Source organism: Homo sapiens, chromosome 4 (assembly GCF_000001405.40).
Source record: "Homo sapiens chromosome 4, GRCh38.p14 Primary Assembly".
Classification (NCBI taxonomy): Eukaryota; Metazoa; Chordata; class Mammalia; order Primates; family Hominidae; genus Homo; species Homo sapiens.
Genome location: NC_000004.12, coordinates 70,028,081 through 70,049,281, shown reverse-complemented (window position 1 = coordinate 70,049,281; position 21,201 = coordinate 70,028,081). Strand labels below are relative to the sequence as shown.

Sequence of the window (21,201 nt, the reverse complement as noted above, 5' to 3'; positions counted from 1 at the left end):
TCTGATTCAGGGAAGGAAACAACGCCCACCAGGGCCTGGTGGTGGGGAAGGGAGGGAGAGCATCAGGGCAAATAGCTAATGCATGTGGGGCTTAAAACCTAGATGATGGGTTGATAGGTGCAGCAAACCACCATGGCACACGTTTACCAATGCAACAAATCTGCATGTTCTGCACACGTATCCCAGAACTTAAAGTAAAATAGGAAAGTAAAATAAAATAAAATAAAATGAATTTGTGTGTGAGTTTTTAAAGGAAATATTTCTTAGATAAATCATCTATGCTAATTTGAACAGTCCTATTAGAAATTATGGTATTCTATAGGTAATATACAAAAATGTAAATTATTTATTTAGGCAAATATGTAATTCAAGTATATTAGATTTAAATTGTTCTTTTGGCATGAAATTTCTAAGCATCAGAGATATAAGGTCTCTTCTCTGGCACAAAACAAACCCATTCTCTTTACATTCTCAATGAAACAAAGTTACATAGGATTCAGTGACTATTTTTTTTTAATAGGTACATAGGCTGCATTCATCACCCAGGCTGGAGTGCAGTGGTGCAATCATAGCTAACTGCAGTCTGGAACTACAGGGCTCAAGCAAACCTCCCCTCATACTCCTAAGTAGCTAGAGACACAGGTACGCACGACTGCACCAGCCTAAATTTTTAATTTTATTTTTTATAGAGATGGGTTTCACAATTTTGTCAACATTGTTCTTGAACTTTTGATTTCAGGTGGTCCTCGTGCCTAAGCCTTCCAGAGTGCTGGGATTACAGTCATGAGCCACTGCACCATCTCATGGTTCAGTAACTACTGAACTATGTCTGATTTAAAAAATATACCCTGCTTTAATTAATTACAAAATGTCAAGCGGTTTCCTTCCTTTCTTCTTTTCTTCTCTGCCTCCTCTCATTTCTTCCCTAGTTCGTTTTTCTAACAATATTAGGTACAGTTCCAGTGGATCTAAGATATTCATGTTCTAGTGCACAAAAAGCAAACTAATAGTCCAAAAGCACACTACCAAACAGCAAACTAACAGGTAAGATATGGCAGATGTCAATATACTCATTTAAAAACTACAATTAAACCTAAAGCATATACACTTTATGTTGGAACACCAAAATGTAGGCATTATTTCACCCATGATTTTCTGCTTCTCCAAGTTAGGAAGTGTGGTGATTATGTATGACAGGTGGAACAAGCATGGTGGCATAGAAATACAGTAGTGACCTTCTCATGCTAGGGATGGTCTCACCCTCCAGGAACAGTAAGCCATTTTAGAAGACTGATGGACCAGAACATGGCTTCATATTTTATAATTAAGTAAAACAGATATCTTGTCTTCTATAAGCAAACATCATGTTCTTTGAAAAGGCCATGCCTTTCAATTACAAGGGAAGTATCAACAAAGAGCCACTGTCTTATCACAGTTGTGGCAATACACTGGTTGCTTATGGATACAATCCATGAATGGGTTTTTATAGTGATATTTATGCTGGGTTTTTATCCTCCTTCTTCACCTTCTTCTGCTTCTCCCCCTCCTCCTCTTTCTCCTCTTCTTCTCTGGGCTCCTCTTCCTCCATTTTCTGCTTCTCCTCCTCCTCCTTATTCTCCGAATCTCCTGTGATGAAAATACTGCATGTTCTCACTCATAGGTGGGAATTGAACAATGAGAACACATGGACACAGGAAGGGGAACATCACACATCGGGGACTATTGTGGGGTGGGAGTAGTGGGGAGGGATAGCATTAGGAGATATACCTAATGCTAAATGACAAGTTAATGGGTGCAGCACACCAACATGGCACATGTATACATATATAACAAACCTGCACGTTGTGCACATGTACCCTAAAACTTAAAGTATAATAATAATAATAATAATAATAATAATAATAAAGAAAGTCATTGCAGACAAACTGATGGGGGGCATTAGATGGTTTGGGGTCTGTGTTCCCTTTACTGTGCAGTGACAATGAGTGGGGTGGGTGGGGGCTGGGGGGCGGTGCGGTTACCTTCTGTCTTGTAGAAACTGAGGTAAAAAATGTGAGAAACTTCCAGGGTGAGAAAATTAGGTGTACCAAAGGAAACCCAGAGCCAATCAAATGTCAGAATAAATAGGCCCAATAATCTAGCTGAGCTTAAGGATTATATGCTTGTAAAATATAAAATACTACAGACTAAATTAGGAATAATTGACTCTAAAGGACCTCTGACATAGAGTGCTTCAGTCAGTGCTTCTCAAACTGGGTAAAAGAAGTGATGTAAGGAATAGCTATATTTGTAAATATAGAAAATAGAAATAAAGAACTTTTGCATAAGAATTGTTTAAAATATATTGCACTTATAAAAAGAATGGACTTCTATTACTCAGAAACAGCACTGCAAACAGCTTAATGGTTTGAAATTGCAACTATCCAATCAAACATCCATTAGGAAGTCAGTCATCTTGAAACAGAGAAAATACACTAAATCATAGTCTTTCATTTTACTTTGTCTTTTTGGTAATTCAACCAACTCCTGTAGAAAACATTTATATTCTTCCTAGTGCAGCATAGCTATTTACAGATCATTTAGGCTAATATAATGCAGGGCTCAAAATAATATTTGACACATAATACGCAATTAAATACTTGTTAAATTGGTATCAGAATAAATAAAAATTATCATCCAACACCTGCAATTTAAATTTAAATTTCTCTTAAGTTCCATTATTATTCTATTTTTTCTCCCACTTAAATACAGCCTACATACTTTATTCATATTTATTTTCCCCAAATAATATTTTAAATGTATCCTTTCTTGATTAAATTTCATCAGCTATTATCAAATGCCTAGAAGATCAAGTTCAGGCTGTTTCCCATATCATTAATGTCAACAGGATATTCAATTGGAATAAAATCTCACAATGCACTGAGAAATATTTAAAATTCCATGAAATATTTCAACTTTGATGAATGTAGAAGTTATCTTTAATCTCTAAAAATTTGCTTTATTTTGTAGATAAATATTTAATATTGCACAGAATTCAGAACATTTAATGTTGTGTATAGTTAGATAAAACTGATATTCTAAAAATGAAATTGAAGACGTTTTTATATCTCCTTGTTGGTATTATACTAGTGATTCTTTCAGTAATTGCTCTTGGATTTACTTAGGGCATATAATGTAAATTTCCCACAATTTCCCATATAGTGCTTGTACATCTTCTCCAAAGATTGTGTTTTAGAAGGCATAGTTTTGAACAACATTCTGAAACAGAATTAGTGGCAGGGAAATCTGCAGTCATAACTGTACACCTTTCTAATCAGGGGATTTTACGTAATATATTTGTTAATAGTCTTCCCAATTCTAAAATGAGGTTAAGTATTATTATAATATCTATTTTGTTGATAAGAAAACTGATGTTTAAAGAAGATTAAGAAACTACTAATTTCAAGGTTGATATGGTTTGGCTGTGTCCCCACTGGAATCTCACCTTGAATTGTAATAAACCCCATATGTCAAAGGCAGGCCAGATGGAGATAATTGAATGGTGGGAGCATTTTCCTCCATACTGTTCTTGTGGTAGTGAATAAGTCTCAGGAGATCTGATGGTTCTATAAATGGGAGTCCTCCTGCACATGCCCTCATGTCTGCAGCCATGTAAGAAGTTCCTTTCCCCTTCCTTCGTCTTCTGCCATGATTGTGAGGTCTCCCCAGCCATGTGAAACTGTGAGTCCATTAACCCTCTTTCCTTTATAAATTACCCAGTTTTGGGTATGTCTTCTTAGCAGCATGAGAACGGACTAATACAGTAAAGAAACTAGTAGTTGTCAGGAACATGATACAAACTCAGGGTTCCTCCTCTCCAGAGTCCAGCCTCTTAACCACGACAGGACAGAAACTTTCTCTCAGAGGTGTTTATATAAATAAATACATTTCAAGGAGCTAAACCTTCCCACATCTCTTACTGGGTCTATTGTTTGTTTGATATCTCGTGTTTGTTTTCCTCTTTTAACTGTGAGCATGGATATTTTTGGAAAGTAAAGAATATCACTAGACCTAGCCTACTTTTATACTTATGTCCTGTGGTTACTGAGGAACACTGTAAGGCTATGGATAGGGATATAGGTAATATGGTGGATATGCTGGATATGGCCAATAGTCTGGATATGGCTGATGTTGGTTAGACCTTTCCTGCATACAGACACAAGAACTAGAGAAAGCTGTAGATAATTGGGACAGTGACAGTGCAAGAGTTTCACAATAATGTGTTTAAAAGCTTAGTTTGTTGTATCAACTGCAATTCGTATATCAACTGCAATATCATTTTTAAACTACTAGTTAGATTTATCATTTTTATAAAAAAATATGTAAAAGTAGGTAAAAATCATAAAGCATTTACCTTTTTACTCTTTGTTGCCAGTTCTTGTTTTACAGTACACATGGGAATACTGATTACAGGCAACCACTCCAAATGAGGATTAAAACTTTTTTTTTTATAATACTACCTTTAAGCTACTACTTTGCCCATCATTGAGTATTATGGGAAAGAAAAATTTAATACTTCCAACTTAAGTGGAGTTTCTCCATGTCACTACTGCATTCTTTAACTCTGCCTTCTCTTAACCCAAATAACTATCCTTCCCCAATGTTTATGTTTTTATTTAGTGCCATTTTATCAATGTATTTATTATATTACTAAGAAGAATTTTTTTAAACTCCATCACATTAAGATGAGAGATCAAACAATAATGACATATCAAAGATACACATTAAGAAATATATTAAAGAAATACTATATTCTATTTTATTTAGAATAGCCAGTTTAACTGAAAGACTTTATCACCATCAACAAATCAAATGATTGGAACTTCCCATATTACCTGTGTGATTGCCAGCACATGTAATATGGCAGTATAGGCATATATTATACTTAGTAGAATTGGCTTTTAACTATTATTTATGTCAACATAATTATTTACCAAATTTATTTTAGTTCTCAGAGAATAATTGACTTCTTTAAATTGGCATTATGAACTTCCACCTAAATTCTCTAAGACATGTGGGACTTTTGCCAATGTATCATGAGTAAGTGAAATTAATATACACTTTAGCCATTCATAATATACATATATTTCAAAAATGATCACAGATTATACCAGGAGATTAAATAATCAGAAAAGAACACTTGTTTGGACTGCACAACATTATCAAGAGAATCCTTGAAAGGAATTTTCTTTTACACTCATGATATTTCTGTGAAAATAAAGACAAGAGTAAAAATTCAATATGTGTTTGATTATTAAGTTTTCCTGTGAATGAAGGTGACTTACCTCTTCAGATACGTCAGCTCTCTTGGAAAAATGAAAAATGAGAGAATAGTTAGTATCTTAATTTTATAACTAAAGATCAAGTATAAAAGTTTTTTCACTTCTATCCTTTTATACAAAAATAATATGATAAACTCTGATATCATACATAGGTTGTTTCTTGAAACATCCCTTAGAACTTAGTGGACAAATTGAAGTGTCCACCTATCTGTACAAATCCATTGTATAATATATCTTACATGGATTTGATTGATGTCTCATGTCTCCCTAAAATGTATAAAACTAAGCTGTACCCTAGCCATTTTTGGGGACATGTTCTCAGAATCTCCTACGGTCTGTGTCAAAGGCCATTGGTCACTCATTTTTGACTCAGAATAAATCTCTTCAAATATTTTACAGAGTTTGATTCTTTTTGTCAACAACAATTTGTTGCCTGAACATGTGGGGCCTCAGAGAAGAGTCAGAACACTGAAGGAGTGGCCCAAACTTGGAGCTAGGGTACAAGCAAGGGCCCATTGAAAGCCTCCCTGATTTTGAGCTTCTCCTCTAGTGAAACTGGCAAGTCCTCCTGAGCCCTGAACATCCCTTTGGTTGCCGGTCCTTGATTTGTTCTGAGCTGCATTTTTTTTTCCTCCTAGGAAGTTGTTTAGGATTCTAATTCTATTTGAGAGGTGCATTCTAAAGGATCTTTTCCATTGCCTTTTTCTAAAGACAAGGAAAATGACCCCTTTTTGGGCAACCTGTTTGGTATCTGGTTCAGAGAGGTATATTCTAAAGGGTCTTCTCTACTGCTTTTTCTCCCCAAATTAAGCACAATTGTCTTGTCTGCACATTTGTGCGAGGAACTGAACTGTTGTTTTCGTAGATAAATGGGAGACTGAGTTTTCTCACTCTGAAGAGAAAAGGCATTTTGCCCCTCCCAGGCAAACGCTGCCCCTGGGTGACCAGAAGCCAAGTGAAAGTGTCTGGGGGTTTGACCCCCTGTGATGTACAGCAGCCCTGCAGGGAACCCCCAACAAAAGTAGTTAAACAAGGCTCATAGGTAAATGCATATGGGAGCTGGTTACTCCATCTTTTGAGCCTTCTTGGAGGTGCCAGACCTCTGAAGAGAGAAAACAAGGCATGTAAGAGGGCAGAAATAACTTAGGGGTGAAACACTGTGGATACGTACCCACTATCAGGACACTTCAATCCATTATATTAAAGTTGTCATATAATTTATAATCTGAGGTTATATTAAGTAATAGATATTAATTAAATGTCTGACTAATTTCCAATTTAAAAAATACAGAGAAACACGTTAAAAAGTGTTTTTTTTTATTAAAAGGTAAACATTTTTTATCTAATTCAAAGATTATTTAGAGGTATATAAAATGAAGTAAAAGGAAACAAGAGAAATGTAAGGAAAGTTATACATATTAAAAGGTACCTTTGGTAAACAAAAAGGATAATAGAAATTTAATTTTATATGAGAAATAATCTTATATTGTGATTTTTTCTTCTAAAATAATATGACTGTTTGCTCAAGAAACGTTTCTGTTTCTAATTCTTCAGATTGATATCCCTGAAGTTCGGTGCTTTCTCTCATTTGAAAAGGCCAGAGACGGTAATTTTCTCCTTCACCTTTTGTTGGCTCCTGTAACATTTCTTTATTAATAATCTAAAGTAAGGGAGCAAATTTTTTCAAAACAGCCAAATGAAAAATCTTCTGGACCTGCCTTTGTATGTCTGTTATATTTATATAATTGAATGTGTCACATGGAAGTGGTATCTCACTACCAAATTATTTGAAAGAGTTTTTATCTATTGGCTTAAAGAAAAGTCAGTGCTTATCAGACTAATAGAGGCTAACTCAGATGCCTTTCATTTCACATGACTTTGGTAATCTTTGGTAAGATTACTTTGGTAGTGGGCTGGCTTCCAAGATGGCCAAATAGAAACAGCTCTGGTCTGCAGCTCGCAGAGAGATCGACACAGAAGATGAGTGATTTCTGCATTTCCAACTGAGGTACCTGGTTCATCTCACTGGGACTGGTTGGACAGTGAGTGCAGCCCATGGAGGGTGAGTCAAAGCAGGGTGGTGGGTCGCCTCACCCGGGAAGCATAAGGGGTTGTGGGATTTCCCTTTCCTAGCCAAGAGAAACCGTGACTGACTGTACCTGGAGAAATGGTACACTCCTGAATAAATACTGTGCTTTTCCCACAGTCTTAGCAACCGGCAGACCAGGAGATACCTTCCCATGCCTGGCTTGGTGGGTCCCATGCCCACAGAGCCTTGCTCACTGCTAGCGCAGCAGTCTGAGATCTACCTGCGTGGCTGCTGCCTGGCAGGAAGAGGGCATCCACCATTGCTGAGGCTTGAGTAGCTCACAGTGTAAACAAAGAGGCCAGGAAGCACGAACTGGGTAGAGCCCACCACAGCTCAGCAAGGCCTACTGCTTCTATAGATTCCACCTCTGGGGCCACGACATATTAGAACAAAAGGCAGCAAACAGCTTCTTCAGACTTAAACATCCCCGTCTGACAGCTCTGAAGAGAGCATTGGTTCTCTGAGCATGGTGTTTGAGCCCTGAGAATGGACAGACTGCCTGCTCAAGCAGGTCCCTGACCCCCGTGTAGCCTGACTGGGTAACACCTCCCAGAATGGACTGACAGACACCTCAAACAGGTGGGTGCCCCTCTGGGACGACGCTCCCAGAGGAAGGATCAGGCAGCAATATTTGCTGTTCTGCAGCCTCCACTCGTGATACCCAGGCAAACAGGGTCTGGAGTGGACCTCCAGCAAACTCCAACAGACCTGCAGCTGAAGAGTCCGACTGTTAGAAGGAAAACTAACAAACAGAAAGGAATACCATCAACATCAACAAAAAGGTCATCCACACCAAAACCCCATCTGTAGGTCACCAACATCAAAGACCAAAGGTAGATAAAACCACAAAGATGGGGAGAAATCAGAGCAGAAAAGCTGAAAATTCCAAAAAACAGAGTGCCCCTTCTCCTCCAAAAGGATCATAGCTCCTTGCCAGCAAGGGAACAAAACTGGATGGAGAATGAGTTTGATGAGTTGACAAGTAGGCTTCAGAAGGTCGGTAATAACAAACTTCTCCGAGCTAAAGTTTCATGTTCTAACCCATCACAAGGAAGGTAAAAACCTTGAAAAAAGGTTAGACGAATGGCTATAATAAACTATGTAGAGAAGACCTTAAATGACCTGAGGGAACTGAAAACCATGGCACGAGAACTTCGTGATGCATGCACAAGCTTCAATGGTTGATTCGATCAAGTGGAAGAAAGGAAATTAGTGATTGAAGATCAAATTAATGAAATAAAGTGAGAAGACAAGATTAGAGAAAAAAGAGTGAGACGAAACAAACAAAGCCTCCAAGAAATATGGGACTATGTGAAAAGATCAAATATACCTTTGATTCATTTACCGGAAAGTGACGGGGAGAATGGAACCAAGTTAGAAAACACTCTTCAGGATATTATCCAGGAGAACTCCCCTAACCTGGCAAGGCAGGCCAACATTCAAATTCAGGAAATACAGAGAACACCACAAAGATAAATTAGTAATTAATAAATTAGTTTGACCATTGTGTAAAACAGTATGGCAATTCCTCAAGGATCTAGAACCAGCAATCCCATTACTGGGCATATACCCAAAGGATTATCAATCAATCATTCTACTATAAAGACATGTGCACATGTATGTTTATTGCAGCAGTATTCACAATAGCAAAGACTTGGAACCAACCAAAATGCCCATCAATGATAGATTGGATAAAGAAAATGTGGCAGATATACACAATGGAATACTATGCAGCCATGAAAAAGAATGAGTTCATGTCCATTATATGGACATGGATGAAGCTGGAAACCATCATTCTCAGCAAACTAACACAGGAACAGAAAACCAAGCACCACATGTTCTCACTCATAAGCAGGAGTTGAACACTGAGAACACATGGAAACAGCAGGGGGAACATCACACATCTGGGCCTGTTGTGGAGTGGGGGCTGAGGGGAGGAATAGCATTAGGAGAAATACCTAATGTAGATAATGGGTTGACAGGTGCAGCAAACCACCATGGCATGTGTATACCTATGTAACACACCTGCATGTTCTGCAAATGTATCCCAGAACTTAAATAATAAAAATCAAAACAAACACAAAATAAAAAGAGAAAATAAAGCGAGTTGTGATTTTTTTTTCCTGCTTTTTTTTTTTCAGGTTGCAGAGTAGAGACTTTTGACATGCTTCTGCCACTTGAAGGTAGTAAGATAGTTCATAAAGATCATGTCTCTGAGCTTTAATTCAAGGAGGAAAGTGGGATTGTATTGGAATCATGAAGGACACTTCAGGTCCTGCAGAGGAGAACAAGTGCAAACATACCCCATGATAACATTCAGCTGACCGAAGTGAGTGAAGCCCCAGTATGTGAGAGATGCAGAGCATCTCCCTCTGTGACTCACCTTTCCACTGAGAATCTGAGCGACCTAGCCCAAAGGAGAGCATTTTGTTTCTTCCAAGCCTTGAAGCTAACCTGGGGAGAGGCTATGAGACACTATGAAGGAAAGACACTGGGAACATCTGCAGACATTTTCACAGACCCAGGACTGATGGCAGGATGCCATTTTTAATACAGGTGCATACAAAGTCAGCCATTCTTTGGTGACTTGGGAACATGGCTATGCAGGCTTTTGAGTCTCAGGCCAGAGTTTAAACTGCCTGCTCTGGAGTGGGTTAAGAACCTTCATAGCCAGAATTATGGAAAGCACTGGAAAACTAGGCACCAGAATTGTGCTTTTGCCACCTCAAAATCATGGTGCAGAGGAGAGCTGCTAGAGCTGTTGTTTCTCTTTTGTGATGAGACATGCTGCAAGTACAAGATTGCTGACCTAGAACCAGTCTGCATGTGTCATTACTAGGTGCCCTCTCCTGCTACCCCAAGACTGTGGTGTGTAGGGCCGTCTCTGCTCTACTCCCAGGTAGAAATTCAGGCCTTTAGAGCCACTACTTGCCTGGAACATTAGTCTGAGCCACCACACCCTTTATGGACATAGATTGTGGTGTAGTGGGATCATTTCCTCTCCACATTCAGGCAGATCTCCAGGTACTGAGAACACAGTTTTGCCTGGATCAACAGCCTAAGCCACCCCGCCATTCCTGTGAGTAGGTCATGGTGCAGTGAGGACTTCTCTACTCCACATGTAGGCAGATCTCGAGGGAGAAGTAAATGAAACTTGGAACCAAAAACCATACAAGAAATCAATGAAACCAAAAGTCAGTTTTTTGAAGTACAAATAAGATCAATAAACTGCCAGCTACGTTAATAAAGAAGAAATAAAGGACAAGATTCAAATAAGAACAAACAGAAATGACAAAGGTAACTTTACAACTAAGCCCACAAAATTGCAAAGGTCCTCAGAGACAATTTTAAACACCTCTAAGAGCACAACTAAAATAGTGTGTCTGACAGTTGGTATCACTCAATAAACTTTTTTTTTTTTTTTTTTTAGTATTTATTGATCATTCTTGGGTGTTTCTCAGAGAGGGGGATTTGGCAGGGTCATAGGACAATAGTGGAGGGAAGGTCAGCAGATAAACATGTGAACAAGGGTCTCTGGTTTTCCTAGGCAGAGGACCCTGTGGCCTTCTGCAGTGTTTGTGTCCCTGGGTACTTGAGATTAGGGAGTGGTGATGACTCTTAACAAGCATGCTGCCTTCAAGCATCTGTGTAACAAAGCACATCTTGCACCGCCCTTAATCTATTTAACCCTGAGTGGACACAGCACGTTTCAGAGAGCACGGGGTTGGGGGTAAGGTTATAGATTAACAGCATCCCAAGGCAGAAGAATTTTTCTTAGTACAGAACAAAATGGAGTCTCCTATGTCTACTTCTTTCTACACAGACACAGCAACAATCTGATTTCTCTTTCTTTTCCCCACATTTCCCCCTTCTCTATTCGACAAAACCACCATCGTCACCATGGCCCGCTCTCAATGAGCTGTTGGGTACACCTCCCAGACGGGGTGGTGGCCAGGCAGAGGGGCTCCTCACTTCCCAGACAGGGCAGCTGGGCAGAGGTGCCCCCCACCTCCCAGATGGGGCGGCTGCCCGGCAGGGGCTGCCCCCCACCTCCCTCCTGGATGGGGCGGCTCGCCAGGTGGGGGCTGCCCCCCACCTCCTGGACGGGGCGACTGCTGGGCAGAGACGCTCTTCATTTCCCAGATGGGGCGGCTGCCGGGCGGAGGAGCTCCTCACTTCCCAGACGGGGCCGCTGCCAGGCAGAGGGGCTCCTCACTTCTCAGACGGGGTGGCCAGGCAGAGACGCTCCTCACCTCCCAGATGGGGTCGCAGCCGGGCAGAGGTGCTCCTCACATCCCAGATGGGGCAGCGGGGCAGAGGCGCTCCCCACATCTCAGACGATGGGAGGCTGGGCAGAGACGCTCCTCACTTCCCAGACAGGATGGCTGCCGGGAAGAGGCACTCCTCACTTCCCAGACTGGGCAGCCGGGCAGAGGGGCTCCTCACATCCCAGACGATGGGCGGCAAGGCAGAGACACTCCTCACTTCCCAGACAGGGTGGCGGCCGGGCAGAGGCTGCAATCATGGCACTTTGGGAGGCCAAGTCAGGCGGCTGGGAAGTGGAGGTTGTAGCGAGCGGAGATCACACCACTGCACTCCAGCCTGGGCAACATTGAGCACTGAGTGAGCGAGACTCCGTCTGCAATCCCGGCACCACGGGAGGCCGAGGCGGGCAGACCACTCACGGTCAGGAACTGGAGACCAGCCCGGCCAACACGACGAAACCCCGTCTCCACCAAAAAATACAAAAACCAGTCAGGCATGGCGGCGCGCACCGGCAATCCCAGGCACTCCGCAGGCTGAGGCAGGAGAATCACGCAGGGAGGTTGCAGTGAGCCGAGATGGCGGCAGCACAGTCCAGCCTCTGCTCGGCATCAGAGGGAGACCGTGGAGAGAGAGGGAGAGGGAGAGGGAGACCGTGGAGAGGGAGAGGGAGAGGGAGAGGGGCAATAAACTTGTTTGATGGATATATTGACAAACCGATAGAGAGCATTAGATGGTTTTTGTTCTGAGTGCCTGCCTACTGCTGTGGAGTGACATAGGGGTTATCTGCTGGCCTGTAGGGCCTGAGATAAGTTGATGTGAGAATGTTCAAGGCTAAGAAATGTCCTGTGGCAAAAGACACCAGAGACAAATCATATCTAGTAATCTAGATGTGATTGAGGACCATATGTTTGTAAGATAAAATGAATATAACATGCTAAATTAAAAATAATCATTTCAAAAGAGCTATGGTATAAAGTACTATAGTCAGTGCTACTCGAACTGGGAAAATAAAGTGAAGAAGTAAGTCTTTATGTTTGTAAATATAAAAAAGAGAAATAAAGAGCATACACATAATAATGTGCTTGAATTTTATTGCTTTTGGAGAGGAATGAATTTCTATTACTCAGAAACAGCAGTGAAAACAGCTTAACATTTAAATTGCAAGTATCTAATCAAATGATAATTAGGAAGGGAAGTATCCTGAAACACAGAATTCACTAAATCATGGTATTTCTTTTATTCTGCATTGCCTTATGATAATTCTTCAAAAAGCAGTGGTAGTGTGATGCGGTATGACAAATGAGAATACACGAGTCCAAAGCGAATTTGCCAGTCAAACCTATGAAGAAAAAGAAAATAACACTTTATCGCCCAAATTGATATTCCTGTAAATAAATTTATACTTTTCCTGGTACAAAGTATTTATTTATAGATAGTTTTATTTATTATAATGCAGGGACCAAAATAATATTTGAGACAGAGTAGACAATTAAACAATTAAATACTCATTAAGTGGGTATCAGAATAAATAAAAATTATCATTCAGCATCTGCAATTTAAATTTAAATTTTTCTTGAGGTTTTCCATCATCATCTTATTTTATTCTCTCACTTAAATATAGCCTACACATTTCATCTATCTCCCTCAAATAATATTTTACCTATATCCTCCCCTGATTAAATGTCATCAGCAATTATCTAACACCTGGAGGATCAAGATCAGGCCTTTTCTAATATCACGAAGAGCAGGAATTCAATATGAATAAAATGTCCCAATACATTTAAAAATATTTGAAATCTTTTGAACTATTTCAATTTTGAATTGTAGAACAGTACTCTTTTATCTCCAAAATATTACTTTATTTTGAAGTATAATATTTAATATTTCATAGATTTTGGAACATTTTATGCTGTGAATATAGATAAGTAAAAATGACTTTCTAAAAAGGACATTGTTACCATATCATATTTCCTTGAAAATTCCCATCTCCTTGTTGATATTTTATTAGTCATTCCTATAGCCATTGCTCATTAGAGTTACTTAGGCATAAAACGTAAATTTCTCATGAGTTCCCAGATGGCGGTTGTGCAGCTTCTCCAAAGATTACATTTTAGGACAGAAAACTTCAAATAACAACCAGGTACAGATTTAGTGGCAGAGAAACCCATGGCCACAACCATACACCTTCCAGAACAAGGGCTTCCCTATAATGTCTCTCAATAGCCCTACAAATTCTATAAAGAGCTTAAGTATTATTATAACATGTATTTGTCTCTTATAAAATTAAGGTTAAGAGAAGATTAGGAATACTTTAAGGTCATGAAACTAGTTGTCAGGGTCAGGATAAAAACACAGGGGTTCCCCTACCCAGAACTCTGTCTCTTAACAGTAGCAAACAGAAGCTTTCCCTCAGAGGCATTTTTATTTTATTTTATGATTTATTTTAATTTAAGTTCAGGGATACATGTGCAGAATGTGCAGGATTGTTTCATAGGTATACATGTGCCATGGTGGTTTGCTGCACTATTGATCAGCCCTCTATGTTACCTTCTGTCACCTCCTACCCCCCATCCCTGGTGTGTGTTGTTCCCCTCCCTGATGTGTTCTCATTGTTCAGCTCCCACTTATGAGTGAAGCATGTGCTGTTTGGTTTTCTGTTCCTGTTTTAGTTTTCTGAGGATGATGGCTTCCAGCTTTATCCATTTCCCTGCAAAGGACAGGATCTCATTCCTTTTAATGACCGCATAGTGTTCCATGGTGTATACGTACCACATTTTCTTTATCCAGTCTATCATTGATGGGCATTTGGGTTGTTCCATGTCTTTGCTATTGTAAATAGTGCTGCAATAAACATATCTAGGCATATGTCTTTATAGTAGAATGCTTTATATTCTTTTGGGTATATACCCAGTAACGGGATTGCTAGGTCAAATGGTATTTCTGGTTCTAGATCCTTGAGGAATCCATAGTTTTCCACAATGGTTGAACTAATGTGCATTCTCACCACCAGTGAAAAAGTGTTCCTATCTCTCCACAACCTAGCCATCATCTATCGTTTCTTGACTTTTTAGTAATCACAATTCTAACTGGTGTGAGATGGTATCTTACTGTGGTTTTGATTTGCATTTCTCTAATGATTGTGATGTTGAGCTATTTTCATGTTTGTTGGCCACATAAATGTCTTCTTCTGAGAAGTGTCTGTTCATATCCTTTGTCCACTTTTAGACGGGTTTTTTGTTTTTGTCTTGTAAATTTGTTTAAGTTCCTTGTAGACTCTGGACACTACACCTTTGTCAGATGGGTAGACTGCAAAAATTTTCTCCCAATCTCTAAGTTACCTGTTCACTCTGATGATAGTTTCTTTTGTTGTGCAGAAGCTCTTTAGTTTAATTAGATCCCATTTGTGAATTTTGGCTTTTGTTGCCATTGCTTTTGGCATTTTCTTCATGAAGTCTTTGTCCATGCCTATGTCCCGAATGATATCACCTAGGTTTTCTTCTAGGGTCTTTTTTTGGTTTTGGGTTTTTCATTTAATTTTCAATCCATCTTGAGTTAATTTTTGTATAAGGTGTAAGGAAGGGGTCCAGTTTCAGTTTTCTGTATATGGCTAGCCAGTTTTCCCAGTACCATTTATTGACTAGGAGATCCTTTTCCCATTGCTTGTTTTTGTCAGGATTGTCGTAGATCAGATAGCAAGCAGAGACCTGCATCATGAATGAACTCCCATTCACAATTGCAACAAAGATAATAAAATACCTAGAAATACAACTAACAAAGGATGTGAAGGACCTCTTCAAGGAGAACCAAAAATCACTGCTCAAGGAAATAAGAGAAGATGCAAACAAATGGAAAAACATTCCATTCTCATGGATAAGAAGAATCAATTTCATGAAAATGGCCTTACTGCCCAAAGTAATTTATAGATTCAATGCTATTCTCATCAAACTACCATTGACATTTTTCACAGGATTAGAAATAAGTACTTAAATTTCATAATTATCTACAGAAGAGCTCATATACACAAGACAATTGTAAGCAAAAGGAACAAAGCTGAAGGCATCACACTACTTGACTTCAAACTACCCTACAAGGCTACGGTTACCAAAACAGCATGGTACCGGTACCAAAACAGACATATAGACCAATGGAACAGAACAGAGACCTCAGAAATAACACCACATATCTACAAAGTCAGAAGCATCTATATAAATCAACACACTTCAAAGAGCTAACCCACGCTACATTTCTTAAACTGGAATGATTGTTGGCTTAATGGCTTTTTTTTAATTTTTCCTTGTTTTAACTGTCAGTGTTGATACTTCTAGAAAGAAAAGTAACTAGAGTCAGCTTACCTCCATAATCATGCCCCGTGATTACTGAAGATATCAATTGTCATACAGATAATTTGATCTATAGCCTCGATGTGAATGATGCTTTTCCTGCATACACACAAAAGGAGAGAGCAAATTGCAGAGAATAGAGGCAATGACAGTAAAAATGCTTCACAAAAACTGTCACTGAAAGCTTAGATTGTTAAAGTTGTTATGACCTCGTGTGTTATCTACATAAATGTTTTCAAATTTTTAGTTACATTTTTCTTCTTTCAGAAAAATGTTTAAAAGCAAGTAAAAATGATAAAGTATTTACTGTGTGTTGATATTTTTGTGGCAATAATAAATGTTGGAACACTGATTATAGGCAACCTCTCCAAACAGGTTTTAAATCTTCTTAACAACATTACCTCCAAGTTACTATTTTGCCCAACATTGAGTATAACGGGGAGGAGAAAGTTACCGTTTCCAACTTAGGTGGTGTTTCTTCATCTTATTCTTTTAATGAGCTTACTTTCTCTTACAACTCCTACATTCTTTCATACCCACTGCTGTTAACACAAACAGTCCTCATTCCTTTTTATGCATCATTTTACTTAGTGCTTTTTTAACACATATACTTGCTATATTAGTAAGCAGAACTTTTGAACCCCTATTCATACTGATATTAGAGGTCAAAATAATATGATATTTTTATACATACATTTAGAAAAATGTTAAATAAAATTTTCTGTCTAATTTAGCACAGTAAGTTTAATTTAAAGACTTTATCATCCTCAAATATTATAAGATAGAAACCACATTACATGGGTAGCCTCTATGCTTCATTAGGCATATGTTATACTTCATAGAATTAGGAATTATTCATAGAATTAGGAACTATTCTTTAGGTCAATGTAATTATTTATAAGAGAAAGATACTTAAGCTCTCAAAGAATAATTGAAAATTGACTTATTCAGAGTGTAATTGAGTTTCCGTTGAAATGCTGTTAGAACACAAGATTTTTGTGACCTTTTACCTCTGTAACAAGAATAAATGAAATCAATGTACACTTTAGCAATTAATGATATAAATATATTTGAGAGATAACTATCAATTATTCTAGGAGAATAAATAGTCAGAGAAGAAAACTTATTCAGAGTGCACATTATCAGAAGAACACTTACATGGAATTTTCTTTTATACCCATGATGTCTCTATGAAATAAAAAGAAAAGATTAAAAATTCAATATATGATTAATTATCAAGTTTTCCAGTAAATGAAAATGTCTTACCTTTGCATGTGAATCAGCTCCCTTGGAAAAGAAGAAAATGAGAAAATAATTAATATCTTAATTTCATAATTCAAGAATATGTGTAAAAATTGACTTAGCCACATTTATGATTAAATAGAATGGAGGCATTCTTTGGATGATGACATGCTAAATTAGTTATTTTAGCTTTATGACATCTTTAAAATGAGTGAAGGGTAAACTTCTCTATAATTAATATGCTATATTAAAGTATCAACTCATTTTGGTTTATATATCTTTTTTATGAAAGGCAAGAAAAGTCTATCATTGGTGAATAAGAGAGTGGAAACTGAAAAATGAAACATTGGATTGTTTTTTATATGAATATGTTCTATGTAGCTCAAAAGCTACCAACATACAAATATTTTATTTGCTGATAGAGACAGGCATTGTGCTTTTCTCTGTTCTTCTTATATGTTTATTTTTCTACTTCTATCCTTCTATAATAAAATCATGTGATAAACTGTGATGCCATAACCAATTTTGTTTTTGAAACATTCATTTGAATTTAGTGGATAGGTTGAAGTATTAGTATTCTTTTGTGACCAATTTTCTATTAACTTCATAGAAAGAAGAGGAGGAGTGGGAAGAGGATGAGAAAGTAGAGAAGGAGAAAGAGCTCCAGAGAGGTCAAGTGCCTTTTCTACTATTACACAGTAGTAAATGACGATACAAGCTGGGAACTCATGACACTTAACAGATATAGATTTGTTTTATGGCTTAAAATAGGCAGCTTTATTTTAGAAAGAGTAAAATAAATTGTATGCTAACTTGAACAGTTTGGTTGTGCAAGAAATTACTTGAAAATTCATATTTTGACACCCTCTAATACTTAGGTTCCATTGAAGTGTACCTTGTTCTTTCCTCAGATTTCTAACTTCAGGTGGTCTAGAGCTTTTAATATTTAAAGATATTTTCACAGTTCTCAGTCCCACATATTTATGAAGCTTGCTTAATTTTCTTTTATTTTTATATTCAAGTAATTGTACTTGAGTGTTCGCAGGTATGTAATGAATATTTATTCTAAGTCCTTTAAGAACTTATATAGGTTAATTCAAGGAAAATCTTTACATAGAAATATTAAAGCTGTATTGAGGTGAACATGAATATATGGCAGAACGTAAGGAATAAGAAAGATCCTTGGGATAAGTACTGAGAATGTATCCTTTAAAACTTCCAGATATACTTACAGTCATGGAAAGCATGAGAGCCAAGATTAAAGCAAAAACAAAAAACTTCATAGTTGGCTGAGTCCTATAAAATCAAACATGAAAAATCAGTAATCACATTCTTTCATGCATTCATTCATCAAACTTCTACTGATGACACTATGCTTCAAAGCATTGGGAGACATGCTCTGTTTTCCAGGCTGGAGTGCAGGGGCATGAGCACAGATCACTGCATCCTGGACCACCTGGGCTCAAGCCATCCTCCCACTTTAGCCTCCCTAGTTCCACTTGTAGGTGGAACTACAAGTGTGTGACACCATGACAAGCTAATTTGTTTTTCTTTTGGTAGAGAATATTTTTAGTCTCACTATATTGCCCAGACTGTTCTGAAACTCCTGGGCTCTAGGAATCTTCCTGCCTTGGCCTTTCAAAATGCTTGGATCTTCGGTGTGAGCCCAGGGCATAGCTTCATTAATTGATAAATAAAGGTGAGTGCTCTAATTTGGAATTATTAATATGCTAAGGAAACACACAAATGGACATCTTAAATAGACCAAGATAATGGGAGTAAGAAGATAACAAAGAAAGGCAAGCTTGAGTTGGATTATATGGAATGAGTAAAGGGAGGTGTTGGGAGACTGCAATGAAATACAACAGAGAGGAAAGCATGTTGAAAGTTCAAACAGTTTAGCATGTAGGGAGGACAAAACTGGAGAAAAGATGACCACTTAGGTTGTTGTGACATTACAAGGGATTTAGATAATGACATTAAGAATGCTAATTAAAGTACAGTGTAAAGACATATTTAGAAAGTAGAATGGCAAGTAATGGGGACTTTCTTTATAATAAAGTCAGTGAATATGAGCCAGATTTCTATTAAAGAATAGCACAGATGGTGCAACCTTGAGATTAGAACATTAATGGTATTGGTTAGAGAAAAATAAAATGAAGAGAAGTCACAGGGAAAATGATTGTATCTACTTTGAGAAGTTGAACTGGTGAAGATTATTCAATATTTCAAATAATATTATTCAAAGCCTCATCTGGGACTCTGATATGTTTTTATAATTATGCATATGCAAGTGAATCCAGTTCTTCGGCTGATATAAAAAAGTAAAGCGGATTACTTATTTCTAAATTACAAACATGTAAATAAAAGCATTTCCACTGGAAAATACAATTACCACAAAACTTAGAATTACATGGCATTTTTATTTGTTAGTTGCTAGCTATAAAGTAATTCATTAATAGATAATATTTTAAAAAATTTTTCTAATCTCTCTTACCTGTCACTTGTGATAGAACATTACAGTAACGTTTTTCATCTAATTATAATAAAAATGTCCTACTCTTAAACAGCCCTACATCTCTATCACAGAAAGCAGAACCCATTTGCCTTATTATTTCTTCATTCATTTTGCTTCACTCATTTAAATGGAAACTTCTTGTATAGGACTAACTATAAAAATTATATATTTCTTGAAGTTTTTCTATTACCTAATAGATAAATCAAATTATGACTCTTTTTATGATATAAAAAGACAATTTTACCGTTGTTTGTGACTGTCAATTGTGTTGCAAATAGAAAATCAAAAAAGGCTGTAAGAAAGTGCCCTTCTTTTACTAACAGATAAAATGATAAATGAACATAGATAATCAATGTATAATTAATAGTTTTGAAAAACATATTTCCCGAGTAAATCAATAATAAAAATTTGGAATAATAAACTGTCTTTTCTGCCATAACACAAATGAATGAAAATGAGTTAAATAAATTAGTAAGATTGAGAAGACTAATTGTTATACAGTATATATTTTGATTTATAACAGAACTGTTTTTAATGATGGAAAGGCCAATGAAAAAGTAATAAAATAGTTTACGACTAAGAGGAAAGTAAATTAAAAAATAAATTTTTATAATAATGAATTTGCAAGACAGAATCTATCAGTATCTTGTAAAATGTGAACTTCTACATTAAGTTTAATATAAAAGTAATAAGAAAGTAGATATCAGGTATCTAGGCAAGGAAATAAAAAGAGTTCATTGAGGTCCCACCATCAGCGAGGATGTAATACATTGCCATATTCCACATTAGTTACTTTGCATGATGATTGCTGGTGTTAATTCATAGGAATTGAGATCTAGAAGTCATCTTCAGATGCCAATAAATGGTAATTATTTCTTTATAAGAAATTATCATAGATAATATACATTTTCATAAGTGGGTTACTATTGATTTTAGCAAACAAAAGCTTATGCTAATATATAATATTAGATTGTACTTGAACATGTTACCTTTTACTCAAGAGGAGAATCCAGAAGTCAGTGAAGCTGAAGTGAAGTCTCAAGAGATGTCCTTTCCTAGATGGCTGATGTATTTAAACACGTTGAAATCTCCCTTTTGTTTTTTGAAATCTCCCTTTTGTTTTTCAAAATAACATCAATTATGAGATCATATGATCGAGACGGAAAGTAATGCCCAAAATCTGTCTCTACAAATTCTAAAAATAAACTTAACCAGGTGATTCTGCAATAGATCATTGTGAAGACAAGGCAACCGGAAAGCGAATGGACCCATCACATGCTAATCCCAGTGTTAGTCTAGCCCTGAGTGAGTCAGACAACGGAAAAGCACGCTGGAGGAAACCAGGCATAGAAATGATTGCAGTGATAAAGATGTTTCTGTAGAATACCATCTACTACTTTTCAACAAATATATGTCCAAGATGGA

General features: G+C 37.4%; 1 protein-coding gene across 1 annotated transcript; it reads right to left on the bottom strand.

The window, feature by feature from the left end:
- Positions 12,744–20,823, bottom strand: HTN3 (histatin 3). Its single transcript, NM_000200.3, has 6 exons — positions 20,766–20,823; positions 18,491–18,554; positions 17,283–17,303; positions 17,175–17,204; positions 16,029–16,115; positions 12,744–13,015 (listed from the first exon to the last, which is right to left on the bottom strand). Exons 2-5 carry the CDS (start codon positions 18,539–18,541, stop codon positions 16,062–16,064), a joined length of 156 nt encoding a protein of 51 aa, NP_000191.1. The 5' UTR covers positions 18,542–18,554; positions 20,766–20,823; the 3' UTR covers positions 12,744–13,015; positions 16,029–16,061.